This window comes from Homo sapiens, chromosome 16 (assembly GCF_000001405.40).
Source record: "Homo sapiens chromosome 16, GRCh38.p14 Primary Assembly".
NCBI classification, from domain to species: domain Eukaryota; kingdom Metazoa; phylum Chordata; class Mammalia; order Primates; family Hominidae; genus Homo; species Homo sapiens.
The window spans coordinates 85,429,259-85,445,373 of record NC_000016.10 but is presented as its reverse complement, the minus strand read 5'-3'; the positions used below and the strand labels follow the sequence as shown (position 1 = coordinate 85,445,373).

Sequence of the window (16,115 nt, the reverse complement as noted above, 5' to 3'; positions counted from 1 at the left end):
CGCCCCCCATGTTCACGGTCTGCCTCCTTTGCAGAGTGGGGGGGTTCGCTGGAGCAGGTAGCAGCACACTCGCCTCTCCACTGTGCTAGCAGCAGTGGCGGCCACACCTGGTGTCAGCCTCTAATTACCGCACGTGGCAGCTGCTCCCGGGAGAGGAGAGCAAGCAGCAAGGGGCCCCATGGGGGAGGGCAGTCAGGTGTGTGGCACCCCGATGCCCAGTCTCAGGTGGCTCAGAACAAGGGGGCCCTGTGGGGTGCCACCAGCGATTCAGGCTGGAAGATAAAGCCAGGGAAGATCAAGGGCAAGGCGTGCAGAAAAGACAGCCCCCGCTCCCCTGCCTGCGTGCGGCGGGAAACCTGAAGCATGAAAAGCGGCTCAAGATCTGGCTGCTGCGGAGCCGGCGACACACCTGGGCCTCCTGTGACAACGTGGGCAGTGGGGAGGCGGGGGAGGCACAGCCAGCGCCGCGGGAAGGGGCATGGGCGGGACACCCCAGGGTCAGCAATCCTGAGCTTCTGCTCCCACAGTGGAAACAGTCCCTTGGAGGCTGGAGGGGGCGGAGGAGAGGGACTGGGGCAGGGGCCCAGCACAGCGATGGCATGAGAGATCAGGCCTGTGCTGGATGCTGGTTCAGTGGGTCACAGGAGGCAGCTTTTCTAGCAACACGGAGCCCGGCTATAGCGTGTGTGCACGTGTGCATGTGTGCACATGCATGGAGAGGGTTGAAGGACTTACCCCAAGCAGACGGCAGAGGTCCTGGGGACACCTGCAACCAGGGCACTGCCAAGCTGGCAGGCCGTGACCTTTGCCCTCTGGACCATAACCCAGGAAACAGAATGCCCCAGAAGCCCCTCCCCAGGGTTCCTCAGGCTGTCCGGTGTTGCCTCTCCAACTAAACCAGACTCGGCAGCTCTCAACGCCAGCGGCCTCCTGCAGTGCGAACTCAGGCCTGGCTGAGCTGGAAACGGCACCTATGAACTTCCTGCCATCTCTCTCGCCTCCCTGGACAAAGCCCTTCAGAGCCTCTTGAGACACTGTCCCCTGGTTGCCTTTGCTTATGTCCTTTGGGCTGGCTAGAAAGCACCCCCCTGACCGGGCATAATGGCTTACGCCTGTAATCCCAGCACTTTGGGAGGCCGAGGCGGGAGGGTCACGAGGTCAAGAGATCGAGACCATCCTGGCCGACATGGTGAAAGCCTGTCTCTACCAAAAAATACAAAAATTAGCTGGACTTGGTGGCATGTGCCTGTAGTCCCATCTACTCCGGAGGCTGAGGCAGGAGAATCGCTTGAACCCGGGAGGCGGAGGTCGCAGTGAGCCAAGATCACGCCACTGTACTCCAGCCTGGCGACAGATCAAGACTCCGTCTCAAAAAAAAAAAAAAAAAAAAAGCGCCCCCTTGTCTCCCGGAACGTGGCAGCCACCCCCAGGGCCCCCTTTATCACAGGTGGGCCGGCCCACAGCTTCTGCAGATGTGCTTTCTGGTCGCCATAGGTCACTGAGAGTGGGCGCGATCTCATCCTGTAGCTGGGCTGGGAGCTGAAGCTCCGAGAGGCTGGGGCACCCAGGCAGAGGGACCTGCCTGGCACTTTCCCCGCTGGGCTATCCGGCTCCGAGGTCCCTCTGTCAGCCAAACGCTAGGCCCCTCTGGTGCGAGGACTCTCCAGCAGGGAAGGCAGGTGGGTGGGGATGTGGCATTGCACCTCCTGCTGCCAGGCCTCGGTTCCCCGCTGCACTCGGCACACGCCACGGGAACAGCAGGAAGCATCTGAACCTATGCTTCTCTGAGTTTTTACTTTTTGTATTAATACTACTTAAGTTTCTACCCAGAATAATAACAGTTAACGCTTATATAAACATTACCATGGGCCAGGTGGAAGCGCCTTCCATCCATTTCCTCACTGGATCTCAGTAACATGAGGAGGAAGGTCATTGTCCTAGCTCTGTTTTACAGGTGGAGAAGTGGCCACATGGAGGTGAAGACACTGGCCCGAGGTCAGCCAGTGGGAGCCAGGCCAGGCTCTGGGCCATGCGCTGCACTGCGCTGCCTCTTGGGGTACAGGGACCAAAGGGAGAAACGGGCGAGATGGGCCTGGAGAGGGTGGTCTGGGGCCTGGCGGGCCATGGTGTGCTGAGGACAGCCCCTCACGGAGCAGGCAGCAGCACGCTGGGGAGGAAATGGGGGCTGCACCGGGCTGGCCGGTGCCCCCCCAACCACATTCACTTCCACCTCAAACCTTAGGCTAGGACCTTACTGGGAAGAGGATCTTCGCAGATGTCATCAATCAGAGATCTCAGATGAGACCATGCCACTGTAGGGTGGGCCCTCGATCCAATGACAGGTGTCCTTAAAAGAAGACACAGAGCTCACAGGGAGGACGCCATGGGCGGACGGAGCCAGGGGTCAGGGTGATGCAGCCACTAGCTGCGGGACACCACGGGTCACCAACGGCCACCGGAGCTCGGAAGGGACAAGGATGGATTTCCTCCGGGGACCTCCAGGAGAAATCAACCCCACCAACACCTTGATGTCGGACTTCCGGCCTCTGGAACCGTGAGAGATGCATTCCTGTCATTTCCAACCACGGCATTTGTGGTAATATGTTACTGCAGCCACTAATACGGGAGCTAAGGGGGCAGCTGCTGTCAAGCAAGGGGGCCAGGGGCTGCCTCTCCACCTGATGGGTCGCCTGGCTCACGATGCCACCTGGGTGCCCTCTGGGTTTGCAGCAGCAGGCACAAAATCTAACAGCAGTCACGTCACACCTGTCTCCTGCCAAAAATTCCCAATGACCACTTGGCCAGATCCTAGATGCTGTGCAACACCCAGCCTCAGTTTACCTCCTGTGCTTCCCAACACATCATCCCCTCTAGCCTGCCCGAGGCTCCCCTCTCTCTATCCCTTCATTCATTCATTCATTCATTCATTCATCCATTCATTCAATAAACATTTGTCCACCACCTGCTGGACACCCAGCGCTGGGCCAGGATGCAGCAGGGAACAGGATAGAAGTCCCTGCCCATGTGGGGCTGATGCTGAGATGGGGCCAGGACGGTAAACAAGCACGCAAACAAGGAACAGTGTTGCAGCAACTGGGGGCCCCATAACAGAAACAAAGCCAGTGAAGGAGGCAGCAGAACAGCTATTTAAGGAGGAGGGGGGCAGCAAAGGCCTCTCTGAGGAGGTGATACCTGAGCTGAGGCCTGAAACGACGGCAGGACTAAGTTCTGGGAATATTTGGCAGAAGGATCTCCAGGCCATCCACAACAGCAGGTGCAAAGGCCCTGAGGCAGAAACAGATCTGGCTGTTTGGAGACCAGCAAGGTGGTCAGTGTGGCTGCAGCAGGGGCCCACGTGGAGGTGGAGATGAAGCTGGACAAGGCCGCTAGAAGCCACAGCACGCAAGGCTTTTAGGCCATCGTGAAGAGTTGGGATTTTATTGCAAGCGGCACAGGGAGCTGCTATGATGTAGGGGGTTTTGGCGAGGGAAGTGAAATGGGCTCTCGGATGTTCTAAAATGGTCCCTCTGGCTGCTGCGAGGAGAAAGCATTGCAGGGGTTAGAGGGGAGGCAGGGAGGCCAAGGAGGAGCCCACTGCCATCAATCCTGGTGTCTTTCTCTGATCCTTCCTTCTATCACAACAGCCTTTCCTGGAAAACTCCTACACACCCCTCAAGACCCAGCTCAAATGTCCTATGTTTTGTTTTGTTTTTTGTTTTTGTGTTTTGAGACGGAGTCTCACTCTGACACCCAGGCTGGAGTGCAGTGGTGAGATCTTGGCTCACTGCAACCTCTGCCTCCCAGGTTGAAGCGATTTCAGCCTCCTGAGTAGCTGGGATTACAGGCGCACACCACTACGCCCAGCTAATTTTCGCATTTTTAGTAGAGGTGGGGTTTCACCATGTTGGTCAGGCTGGTCTCAAACTCCTGACCTCAGGTGATCCACCCACCTCAGCCTCCCAAAGTGCTGGGACCGCAGGCGTGAGCCACCACGCCAGACCACGTCCCCTGTTTTGTGAGTGTCCCTTAACCCCGTGATTCTCAACTAGGAGGTGACTGTGCCCCCCAGCGGACAAATGGCAATGTCTGCAGACATTTTTGGTTTTGACAATTGGGGGGTGCTACTGACATCTGGTGGGTCGAGGCCAGAGATGGTGCTAAACGTCCTACAATCCACAGGACAGCCCCCACCACAAAGGAGGAGCCAGCCCAAATGCCAACAGTGCCGAGGCTGAGAAACCCCAGCCTATCCCCATCCCGCAGCCCCCAGGGAATTCCCTGAAGTCCACACTCTGCTGCCACAGCACTGGGATCAGCTGCCACCCATCTCCCCGCCAGCCCCTCGTTCCTCAGGTGTGGCCCAGCATATGCGTTGGCCTCCCGGGAGCTGGCTGGACGTGTGCATTTCAGGCCCACCCCCGGCAAGTGGCCCAGGGCTCGAATTGCCACGAGGCCCCGCATGATGGGTGAGGACTCCGGTGGGACCGCGTCCTCGGGAAGCCAGGCCGGGGCTGAGCCAGTTGGCCTCCCAGGGCACAGATGTGGCCTGCCTGGCTTCACTGCAGCCCACAGTTTCCAAAGCTGCAGGAAAAGCTCCCAGCAAGGCCCCACCTCCACGGGCATATTCCAGGCCGCGCTGTGCCCCCGTGATGGTTCCTGGGGCCTCAGCACCAGAACTTACCCAACCTGAAAAAAGTAAAAGCTGCAGGGAATGAGACCCAGTCAGGTTAGCATCCAGCTGACCAGTGACCACTGACCCCAGCCAGGGAATCTGGTGTGGCCCTTGGCAAAGTTAACCCCAGGTCCTCCCAGTGTCGGCTGAAGATCAGCAGCCGAGTCCTCATTCTGGGGTGGGTGTGAGAAAGACGATGTTTAGGACTGGCCAGCTGTCCGTCTCCTGCTGCAGCAGGTTCATCTCAGATGCACGTGAAACTTCTGGAACCCAAGGAAGCGCCTCCCCCAGATGGCAAGTGCTTAGTCCAGCAGCTGGCTATCTCTGGGCAGTGGAAAGGAACACGGTACAAGGAATCCTGAGGCCTCAATCCAGGCTTGTGATTTGCTAGAGCAAGTTGTGCCTGCAGCTGTCCTTCTCTGAATGTCCTAAAGGTGTTCCCCAGTCTCCAGCAAAGCAGAGGGCTGACTGTCTCCTGATCCTCACCTCCAGACCCCACTGGTCCCGGTGTTGCTGAGTCAAGACACGGTTCGAGCCATCCATGCATTCACTGACTCGACAAACATTTACCACACCCAGCCCCATGCTTGGCACTGGAGACACTGTGGAGAACAAGACACGGGATGTCAATTTGCTCAGGGCTTAAACCCGAAGGTGCAAGTGTATGTCTGTGGAGCTCTGTGCAGTCTGTGTACTGTGCATATTTGCATATGCATGCATGTGCACATATGTAATAATGTGTGTCTGTGTACCTGAGTGTCTCTGCGTATGCCTGTGTGCATGCATGTATGTATCTGTGGGTGTGCATGCCTGTGTGTACCTGTGTACACATATGTGTGCATGCCTGTGAGTTTATGTGTCTGTGTGTGCATGCATGCATCTGTGCCTGTGGATCTGTAATCTCTGTGCACATGTGTGCACTCACTTTTGTGTGTGTGTCTGTGTGTGTGCATGCATGTGGATCTGTGGCTCTCTGAGCACCTGTGTGTGCACTTTTGTTGCATGTATGTGTGTGCACATGCATGTCTGTGTGTGTTGGGGAGTGTCTTCACCAGGCGAGGCTGGACCTGCAGGCCCATCAGAAGCCCACCCCCCACTGACACAGGCCGAGAATTACAAAGCACCTCAGTGTGACGCCTGGGGTGTGTGTGTGTGTGTGTGTGTGTGACAGACCGTGTGTTTCCCCGCCTGTGAGTGCCTCTGAACAAAGTACACCCTCTACCTCTGTGAGCCCACTGCCATCTGTCTCTCCCCCTCCTGCTCGGCCATTTGAGCCAGTGGTGGAGGGGCACCCCCAGCCTCCAAGGCTGAGAGAGCCAGATGGCAGGAATCAAGGCCTCATCTTGCCCCAGGGAGGCCAGCGCCCGAGGCCGCCCCCACTGCCCCTCTCTGGCCACCTGGGTCATGGGGCAGGCCACCACCCTCATTCTTGGTGCCTCCTGGCTGTCCTAACCCCTGTTCCCGGGCCCCACCTCAGTGGCTTTTTGCCTCAGCCACATAAATCACCATCCAGGTCAGTGCCGGGTGAGGGGCCAGGGCAGGCAGGGCACGTCCCCCGGGTCTGCAGACAGAGTGGCTGCTGAATGACCCCTGACAGCCCTGGCTGGGGGCCTCAGAGGGCCAGAGGGCAGGTCAGGAGGCTCTCATGTTCCCCTGGGCTTTGTGGGTGATCTTGGCTTTGCCTCACCGTGTGGGGAGGTTGACTCTGATCACAGGGCCTGGGGCAGAGGTGCAGGCCCACACCTGCTCAGGTGGCCCCTGGAGGCAGGCAGGAGGCCGCGGGGGGATCCCTACCCTAGGACTGCACGGGTAGATTCCCAGGACGCAGTGGTCAGTACGGGAGCTGCACAGACAGTGCCCACAGACCTGAGGGCTGGTCCCAGCTCTGCCAGCCACAGCTGAGTGTCCCAGCACCCTTTGCTTCTTCACCCCTGAAACTCAGGTGCTCACACCTACTTTATACAAAGTTCCCCAAGAACTCAAGGCAGCGATCACTCGCTCAAGCAGTCATTCAAAAAACAGAGGCCCAAGAGGCTGTGGCTGGGACACGCAGGCTCTGGAAGCAACTGCTTGGTGTGAATTCTGGTGACTCCCTTCCGAGCTGTAAGAGCATGGGCAAGTGACTCCACTGCTGTGGGTCTCAGTTTCCCCATCTGTAAAAGAAGAGGCTGACAGCACCTACCTTCTAGATTGTCCCGAGGATTAAGTGAGGCAGCGTTTAGAGCAGGTCCACCACCACAGAGCCTCTCCAGGCGGCAGCTGATGTTGCCCACGAAGGACCTCTGGGCAGGCGCGGGTACCAAGAACAGAGCGGGGTGCGCCCCTCCGCCTCCTGTCCCTCCCCAGAGGCCACCACTCCCCACTTTCCCCAGCAAGGAGCAGCACAGACCCGGAAAGACACCACCGCATGGCCTTGCAAGGTCCCCCGGGCTGGGCTGAATCCTCCAGCATCTGGAGTATCAAGTCTTCATTCATTCACTCTCTCATTCCACACACTCTACAGAGTGTCTACCTGTGTTAGGTACCCCGTGGGGGCTCACAGACTGACGGGGGAGGCAGAGACGAAAACACAGTATCCTATCCGGGGGACACAGAGAAAGGTAGGCAGCCCCTGGGGTGCTGAGAACAGAACCCCTCTCCCGCCTCCCCCAGATGAGCCTGGAAGAGCTTCGGACACGGAACTAGCTCCTGAGCAGTAATAACACTAGTTAGAATAGCTGTTATTTATGCACCTTCCACACATAAGTGACTTAATCCCCATGCAACCCTATGATGGGAGGCAGGTACTATTGTCATCAAGGAGGCAGGCTCAGAAAGGTTCAGCAACATGCCTGACACCACACAGCGAAAGGGTGGGAGGGAGATTTAAACCCAGAGCCGGTCCAACCACTGAACATAGCCCCTGCTAGCTCTAGGCGGTGGTGTTCGGCCTCCTGGATCCCCCAGCCCTGATCTGTGGATTCCTAGACAGGAGGAAGGTAACTAGGAGGCAGATTGACTTTTTTAAGTGGGGAAACAGGTCCAGGTGGGGCAGGAGACAGGTAGGACAGGCGGCTCCTGCGCAGGCTGAGGCTCCAGCCCAGATCCCTTCCTGGTCTCCGATCCCAATCCCCCGAGCATGTGGCTGCCCCTCCTCGTCCTTCTCCTTGGTAGAACCCGCAGGGCTGTGCAAACACGTAGCTCCCTCCTCCCCCAGGGTGGGTGTGGGTGCCGCCTCCCTAGATGTCATTATTTCCTTATTTCTCCTCCCAGGCACCATACGGCTGCCTCCCGGTCCAGCAGGAGGCCCCGGGTCTTGGCAACATCCTGCTTTCTAGAAATAAAAATGAGAAGAGGGAAAAAAGCCTTCCAGGAGGCCAGTTCTTCTATTTACATGTAAAAAGGCCTCCTCGGCACTCCTCGCCCCTCCCCCACTTCTTTTGGGGGTTGAAGATTGTTTGGAGGGCGTGCAGGGGGCCTCTGTGACCCCAGGAGCCTCCTTGGGGAGCCCGGCGGCGGAGGCGTCCGCAGGGAGGGAGATCAGATGGCCTCAGAGGGTTGGGGGACTGTGGGGAGGGGCAGGCCGCCTCGTCGCCCCACCTCCCTTAATGGGAAATTTCATGGGTGTGGTAGCTTGTGAGACCGGCCGGCTGCGCCCATGCCCCCGCCCCCGCCATCTGCTCAGAGGCCAAAAGTCGCTGGGGAGGGGAGTAGGCCTCTGCCCGGGCTCCGCCGCGTCGACCTCGACGGTAACCTCCCCTCCCCATCCCCACATTTTTTAAGCAGATGTCTCCCACTGATGAGCTCAAGGTTGCCTCCAGCCCGCCCCCACAGTCCCGGGCCGCCCACTGCGTGGGATGGGGGAACCGAGCCCAGCCCACACTCTGGCCTGCGGGCTCCCACCACCAGCCCGGCAGCCTGGCAGCGCGCGTGGGGTCCCAGCCCGGAACCAGGCACCTGGCCAGCGGGGACTCTGCCAGGCAGCTGGCCCGCCCCTCGGGCAGGAGACAGGCGCCCACGGGCCCTTCGGGGTTTGGGCCTTGCCCAGTTGGCCGGGCCTGGGGCTAGAGCTGCCTCCCGGGACTCTCTGGGAGGTCAAATCCTAACCCCACTGGGGCTACCGAGGTCCCCGCCTTCACACTCTGGGCCGAGTTTCACTGTTAGCCCCCACAGAGGAAGGGAGGCCCCCTGTTCCTGGGAAAAACAAATTCCACCTCCTGCATTCTAGGCTAAGAGTTACCCCAAGTAAAATGAAAGATCAACCAGGGAGAGGGCAGATTGGCAGAATCGCACTGGAGTGTGGCTGACTGAGCAGAGACGCCGGGATGCTGGGGCTGGACTCAGGGCTAGGATGGGCTGGGCCAGGATCCACAGTGGCCGGAGACAGTGTCTTGAGCTCTCTGGGCAAATTCCCTACCTGCAGAACTGGAATAAGAAAAGCTGGCTTGCAGGACTCCTGCGCTCTGATACCTTCACGGGCTGCTTTGCTAAGAGCAAGGGAAGGAGAGGAGAGGAGTTTAGGGGTGAACTTTTGGAGGAGAGAACAGGAAGTTCAAGGAGCTACCCCATTAACCCAGGGCTGGGCAAGGCCACTCAGTGACCCCTGACTCCTAACGTTTCTGGAAGGCTGTAGAGGTTGGGGGGTACGATGATGCAGACAGCTTAAAGAAGCTTCTGGAAGCTGCCCAGCAGGGTTCTGGCCCTGGAAATGCAGACCCACGCCAACCACACTGGTGAGATCCGGGAGCCCCAGACCCCACCTGCCTTCTGGGGTGACTACATGGGGCTGGTGGGGTACCAAGGACTTAGGCACACACAAGTCCCCTGTGGCCTCAGCTTCCTGCCTGGGGAACATGGGACCCACAGATCCACCTACAGCCGAAGGGCCCACTGGGTGCACGGCCCCTGGTCAACCCTCAGCCCAGGCCTCTTGCACAGATGAGGAAATTGAGGTACACACAGGCAGGGATGGAGTCACAGAGCTGCGTGGAGACGTCAGGAGAGGGAATTTCTGCTGCCCATTCCCAGGCCATCCTCATCCTACACCGTCTCTCCCTCTCCCCTTCCCTCTCAGACATTCCCATCAAGCCCAGATCCCCCCTCAAAACCCACTCAAGGGGAGGAGTTGCAGGGGCAGCAGGAAAGCAACAGACCCCTCCCCTCCCTCAGCCCCCAGCCCCTCCCCCAGGACCCGCCCCAGAAGTCAGATGGGCGCACCTGCTGCGGGGGGCTGTGACAGATCTAGGGCACAGGCTCAGAGGAATTTCCGCTGCAGTCGAGGGAGAGGGAGGGAGGGTGCAGGTCTCGATCTCTAGAGCTGGGCAGAGGGAGGACCCAGGCCGGGCCCCCTGGAAGGCTGCTCCTCCATGGAGGGCACAGTCTAAGAGGAATTTCTACCACAGTGGGGGAGGGGGTGGTGGGAGGGCACAGGTCTCCATCTCTAGAGCTGGGGAGAAGGAGGACCCAGGCCAGGCCCCCCAGGAGGCTGCTCCATAAAGGGCACCTCCTGGCGTGTGCAGGGCCGAGGCTCTGGGCATCTAGGCCCTGCTGCCACATCTCAGCCTGCCTGGGCCTCTGCCTGACCTGGACAGGGAATCGGGGCTATGGGGCTGGAGGGACCCCAGTGCAAAATGAAAATGGGGACCTCCTGTTCCAAAATGATTAAGCGCATCAAGATGGCAACACCAGGGCAATAAAACCAAGCGTAGGCCCTCCTGAGTGTGGGGCCTGTGTGACTGCTGAGGCTGCACAGCCACGAAGCCGCCTTGCTGCCAGTTTGGGGAGGGGACAGGGAAAGGCTGCGACCACAGGGGCCCACCCCAGTAGGACGGGGCAGCAGACCAAGATGGGCAAGCCCAGCCCCTGGCCTGTCTTTCCATTCTGGCTCTGATACTTCCTTTTATTTTTTGAGGCAGAGTCTCACTGTCTCCCAGGCTGGAGTGCAGAAGCACGATCTTGGCTACTGCAACCTCTGCCTCCCGGGTTCAAGCCACTCTCCTGCCTCAGCCTCCCCGGTAGCTGGGATTACAGATGCGTGCCACCATGCCTGGCTAATTTTTGTGTTTTTAGTAGAGAAGGGGTTTTACCATGTTGGCCAGGCTGGTCTTGAACTCCTGACCTCAAGTGATCCGCCTGTCTCAGCCTCCCCAAGTGCTGGGATTACAGGCATGAGCTGCCGTGACCAGCCTGGCTCTGACACTTTCTAACTGGAGCCTTGGGCAAACAGCTCAACCTCTTTGTGCCTCAATTTCCTCATCTGTAACATGCAGGTAATAACACAGCAGTCCTTCCCTTACTGGATTACTGGGGAAATAAAAGGAGTTACACATACAAGTAAAGCGCTGACACCGGGTATACAGGAGGCGGACGGCACTGATTATTATTATTATTATTATTATTATTATTATTATTATTAGACCACCATCCTAGTGACTCCTAGGCCATGCCCTAGATGGTGCTCATGGGGCAGGAGGGGCTGTAAGGCGTTCCTTGGGACCCTTAGTATGTCACAGAAATGAGGCTGCAGTCCCCAGCCCTGTGGGAAATAAATCCTGGGACCATGGCAAGTCTCCTCCCATCTTTGAGTCTCAGTTTCTTTCCTGGTGAGGAGTTGGGCCACAGTCCTTCAGACTTTGATACTGGAGAATTTCTGCTGCCCCTTTGGGTGGGAGATTGGTGCCCACAGGCCCTCAGGTTTGGGTTGTGCCCAGCTGAGCAGGCCTAGGGCTGGAGCTAGTTAGTCCCCCTTTCCACTAGGGATATGAGGAATTATGGCTCTTGCTTCCCCTCCCAGAGCCAGAGATTTCCATCCTTCCATCTAGTCATCTAACCAACATCCATCCATCCATCCAAACCACTTCCATCCATCTGTACAACCAACATCTATCCACCATCCATTCATCCATTCTCTACCCATCCAAAATCCATCCATCTATCCAACATCCATCTATCCAGCATCCATCCATCCAGCATCCATTGATCCATCTGACCCTCCATCCACCATCTATCCAACATCCACTGGCCCATCTATCCTTCTGCTCATCCAATCCCATGCAAGTATCTATCCATTCAACATTCACCCAATCATCTCTCCATCCATCCATCCATCCATCCATCCATCCATCCATCCATCCAGGATCCTTCTCTTCATCCATCCATCTACACAGCCTTCATCTGGTCAGAGATACAGACACCAATGCCAAACAGCAGGGCCCAGAGTTGTCAGGACGCTACAGTGAGTGGGCAGCAGAGGTCCCTGGGGGTGGCCAGGGATCACGGCCAGTGGTGTGCACTCCTGCTTCTCTCTCTAAGGCTGGCCGAGGGCAGGGAAAGTAATTTGTGGGAAAGTAAAGGATTGAAGTCAAATCACAACTCTACTTTTATAATCTGGTAACTGGACCCAGGTGACTTAACCTCTCTGTGCCTCAGTTCCTTTGCCTGTAAAATGGGCATAAGAGATGTTTCTTTGGGGTTCTTATGAAGATTAAATGAAAATGACAATGTAAACCAAGCAAGAGAATGTCTGGGGCCAGTGTTGAACCCAAGGCTGGTTGCATCACTCGCCCACAGCTCGAGGCCCTCTGTTGAACAAGAGAGCACCTGCCTGGGGCTGGTGCTGAGCCTCCCTGAACCCCTGAGCCCCATTCCAAGTTGCCCCAGGGAAGTCTCTGGGGGGGACTTATCATCACCTGATCCCCCAAGCAGATCTGAAAAAGCACAAGATAAAAACGGGGCTCTTCCATCCACAGTGTGACCGCTCTAGGCCTCTGGATGCCAGATCAGTCCCTATCTGCCACCCCAGTAAGTCCTGGAGCCACAGGATGACCCGTATAGAGCTGCAGAGAGTGCCGGGGTAGGCAAAAATCCCCAACCAGACAGACCGAGGTTCAAATCCCAGCTCCATCCTCACCTGTGCACCTGGGGCCTGCTGCTGAAGCATCCCAGCCTTGCTTTTCCTATCTGTCAACTGGGGGCATTTCAGGACTGTTGGAAGCATTGCAGAGAATACCTGGAAAACACCTGATACACAGTGGTCCCTCAAGAATGCCTGTTTTTTCATTAGAAATGGGGGAAGAGGAGAGATGCTGAGAACCGTGGAAACACACAAAGGTGGCATAAAATATGCCCCACAAATGACACCTGCCACGACGTGCAACATATGTGCTTGCAGGCAGGGCCCTGAAGAGAACACGCAAGCAAAGCGTGGAAAGAACCCTGTGCAGTTGTGTGTTCTGGGATGTGCAGCTCAGCTGCTCGGCACCTGGGAGACAGTGGGCTGGGTCAGAGCTTCAAGCTCATTCTCTCCCTCTTCCCACCCAGTCTCTCGTTGCCTGTGAAGTGAACGCTACTGAGAATTCCCACCTCTGGGGAGGAGGTTTCACTTCAATACGGACTTGACTGTTGATTTCAAGTGCATCCTCAGTTCCCTAAAATTACTTGGAAGGGATGGCTGTGTACAGACCCTCTCCCTCCTCCATCTGGGCGTGCCCGTCTTGGCCAATGGCAGAATGTTCTGGAAGCACGGCAATCCATTCTGCATGCATAGAACCTAACCTTATGACACTCTAAGGGCTTTATTAATAGCCTATTAGCGGGTAATTCATGCATTTTGATGAGAAGTCAGCCAGTGGTCGTTTATGGGGGAAGAGGGGTGAGGGGTGAGTTCGGGGGCGTGCAGCTAGACGGTCACCTCCGGTGTGCGTCCCAGCACTCGCCCAGGCGGCGAGGATTCCACCAGGCGCCCATGCCGTGCTGTGCCTGGGATGCCCCTCCCACAGCCCCGCCACTCATTAATCTTGATGAGTTTTCTGCTGAGTATTCTTCCAGGGCTTTCAAACCGCTAGCTAATTGCAATTAATCACTTACTGAAACAGATGTCAGGAACAATGGGATTGGGAAGGCTGGAGGCTTGATAAAGCTGTCAGGAGAGGGTGCGTGGGTGGCTGGGGGGCCAGGGAGGCAAGGCGGCCCAGATACCCTCTGGGCCCTGGGTGCTCAGAGTGCCAGACAGGCCAGCTCCTGTCCAGGTGGGCTGGGTGGAGCTTCGCTCCGAAGGAGGACGGAAGGCCAATGGCGGGAGGCAGGTGCCATGGCCAAGTGTCTCGGGGAGCACGGGCAGAAACCTCTGAGGCTGCCACGGCCACCACCCCGGAGGCGACTTTCCAGCCCTGATGCTCAAAGGATCAGATCTGGGGACAGCAGGCGTTGGATCAGAGACGCGCTCTGCAAGTGTGGCCTGCAAACACGGTAGGGGCGTTGTGTGTTTTTCGCCCCGCGGTAACGTAAGAATTGTATTTTCGCATTAGTTGCCAACATTTAAAAATCAGATTTGACAGAAAAATCTGGACTTCTGGCTTCTCTTTGAAAACACAAAGATTTTGCCATACGCCATCATGCGGCACCGCGGGCTGGGCCTGAGCGAGCTCCCGTATGGACAGGGCCTGGAGGCTGGCTTCTGCCAGCAGCTCCTCCACATTCACCCCAGGGGCTTCCCTCCTTGGGTCTCTGGCTCCTGCGCGCCCCTCACGTTGCCTGCCGCCCTATCAGGCTAGACTGAGAGGTTTTGCAGATTAACACCCCTGGAGCTTGGTGCAATTCTGAGCCAAGCTCAGGAGGGCTTGAATCCAGGATGTGAGAAATCCGCCCCCCGAGGCAGTGGCTTTCAACCTGAGCTGCACTCAAAAATCACTTGGGGAGCTTTAAAAAACCCTCAGCCCAGGGCCTTGCGGCGGGGCTGGAAATGTTCTGTATCAGCGGCTCTCAAAGTGCAGAGTCTTAAGCAGCGGCAGCCTCTCCTGGGAGCTGGGTGGGAACGCAGGCTCCCAGGCCTCACGCTGACCTGCAGTGTCTGAGACCCCGGGGCAGGGCCCGGCAACCTGCATTTGCCTTCAGGGGATTCTGCTGCCCGCTAAGTGGGGGGACCTCCGCTCCAGGCCCTGATGGAGGCGGGCAGGTCATGCACGTGTGTGCCTACGTCAGGATTTCCCCAGCGGTGCCCTTCAGACGAATGCCCTAGACTGCCGCCGCCCTGTGCCCAGCCCGTACCTGGGGACTATCAAGCCAGAGCCTCTGGGGGTGGCACCAGGCGTCCCCGTTCCATGCAGCTCCCAAGTGACTGCCGTGTGGAGAGGGCTGAACGCCGCTGTGTGGCTCCATGCTCACCCCTCCGCCCCCTGGCCTGGCCTTCGAGGTGCAGGGCAAGTTTTCCAAGGTCATTCCCAGGCCGGGCTCCCTTGGCCACCCTCCCAGCACAGTTCCCACCTGTGTCCCTCTTGGAGTTGGCTCTGGCCCTACCGGGCTGGGTGACCTTAGGCAAGTTGCTGAACCTCTCTGTGGTTCTTCCCCCATCTGTGACTGGGAATGAGGACTGCACGGGAGGCTGTCTGGGTGTCCGGCCATTATCATGGCTGATCTCGGTTCTTCCTTCTGTGTGTTTCTTTGCTCCAAACTGCTTCTGGGGCTGGCCTCATCCTTCACTGCATTCTATCTGTTTCCTCTTCTGTCAAATGGGCTTCATGACCCATGAGGTTGTGAGGATTAAATGTGCTCACGGGCAACGTTCCTAGCCTCGCCCCTGGGATGTTGTAAGTGCTCAAAAAGTGCTAGATATTGCAGGGACCCTGCTCACACATCACTGGGCTCCGACTGAACCCCCGATGGATTCCCCGAGGACTAGGAGGTGAAGAGACAGGAGAATGAATGAAATTCCCTGACCTGTGCTTACTGCACGTTTTTACCGAGCCCCCGCAGAATGCCAGGCTCTGTTCACAGTCCTGGGAACTGCACGGAGGAGAACAGGTCACTGGTGGAGCTGACAGCTCAGCAAGGAGACAGAGAATAACCACACACACACATCCATGAGTAAGCTCGCTGTGACCCAGAGCTCTGGAGAAAAATGGAAAATCGAGGAATGGAAGGAGGCCATGTGGAGGCTGTGCGGGAAGCAAGGGGGCTCAGAGCCACATGCAGGGCTGTGCAGGTGGGAGCAGCGTTCCAGGCAGAGGGAACAGTGGGGGCAAAGGCCCTGGGGCAGGTCTGAGGACAGGGGAGGAGGCCTGTGGGGCTGGAGCAGAGCCAGCAAGGGAGATCTTGGGAGGAGGTGAGGACAGGAGATGCTGGGGGCCATGGAACAGATCACACCAGGCTTTGAGGCCAGGCTAAGGACTCTGGCTTTTGTCCCCAGGGACATGGGAGCCACAGGAAGGTTCTGGGCAAGGAGGGACATGATGACGCCTCACTAGCAGATTCGCACTTGTCACAGCTGTGCCTGCCTCTGCCACCAGAGCCCCCGTCCTTGGTTCCTCTGCACTCGGCTTCCAGGGAGGATGTTTCGGGGCAGCAGCGCAACTCCTGCATGGAGAAGCTCTGCCCCCAGACAGAAGACCCTGCGGGGAGCTCCTCCATGCACATGCCCGTGGCAGAACATGCCAGTGATGCATGCCACACAGAATGTGACCGTGGCACC

The 16,115-nt window shown here is 57.7% G+C and overlaps 1 protein-coding gene across 6 annotated transcripts in view, besides 6 other annotated features; it reads right to left on the bottom strand.

The window, feature by feature from the left end:
* GSE1 (Gse1 coiled-coil protein) overlaps window positions 1–16,115 on the bottom strand; it is a 506,689-nt gene that overhangs the window by 230,827 nt on the left and 259,747 nt on the right. The gene's annotated exons all lie outside the window — the stretch shown is intronic.
* Window positions 287–1,175: an enhancer, noted in NCBI's record as "H3K27ac-H3K4me1 hESC enhancer chr16:85477805-85478693 (GRCh37/hg19 assembly coordinates)". NCBI's record gives its function as "activates a minimal SCP1, AML or CMV promoter by ChIP-STARR-seq in primed H9 embryonic stem cells {active_cell/tissue: H9 hESC(primed)}" and the evidence as "EXISTENCE:reporter gene assay evidence [ECO:0000049][PMID:30033119]".
* Window positions 3,922–4,441: an enhancer, noted in NCBI's record as "H3K4me1 hESC enhancer chr16:85474539-85475058 (GRCh37/hg19 assembly coordinates)". NCBI's record gives its function as "activates a minimal SCP1, AML or CMV promoter by ChIP-STARR-seq in naive H9 embryonic stem cells {active_cell/tissue: H9 hESC(naive)}" and the evidence as "EXISTENCE:reporter gene assay evidence [ECO:0000049][PMID:30033119]".
* Window positions 4,442–4,962: an enhancer, noted in NCBI's record as "H3K4me1 hESC enhancer chr16:85474018-85474538 (GRCh37/hg19 assembly coordinates)". NCBI's record gives its function as "activates a minimal SCP1, AML or CMV promoter by ChIP-STARR-seq in naive H9 embryonic stem cells {active_cell/tissue: H9 hESC(naive)}" and the evidence as "EXISTENCE:reporter gene assay evidence [ECO:0000049][PMID:30033119]".
* Window positions 8,214–8,872: an enhancer, noted in NCBI's record as "H3K27ac-H3K4me1 hESC enhancer chr16:85470108-85470766 (GRCh37/hg19 assembly coordinates)". NCBI's record gives its function as "activates a minimal SCP1, AML or CMV promoter by ChIP-STARR-seq in naive and primed H9 embryonic stem cells {active_cell/tissue: H9 hESC(naive and primed)}" and the evidence as "EXISTENCE:reporter gene assay evidence [ECO:0000049][PMID:30033119]".
* Window positions 8,873–9,532: an enhancer, noted in NCBI's record as "H3K27ac-H3K4me1 hESC enhancer chr16:85469448-85470107 (GRCh37/hg19 assembly coordinates)". NCBI's record gives its function as "activates a minimal SCP1, AML or CMV promoter by ChIP-STARR-seq in naive H9 embryonic stem cells {active_cell/tissue: H9 hESC(naive)}" and the evidence as "EXISTENCE:reporter gene assay evidence [ECO:0000049][PMID:30033119]".
* Window positions 10,192–10,852: an enhancer, noted in NCBI's record as "H3K4me1 hESC enhancer chr16:85468128-85468788 (GRCh37/hg19 assembly coordinates)". NCBI's record gives its function as "activates a minimal SCP1, AML or CMV promoter by ChIP-STARR-seq in primed H9 embryonic stem cells {active_cell/tissue: H9 hESC(primed)}" and the evidence as "EXISTENCE:reporter gene assay evidence [ECO:0000049][PMID:30033119]".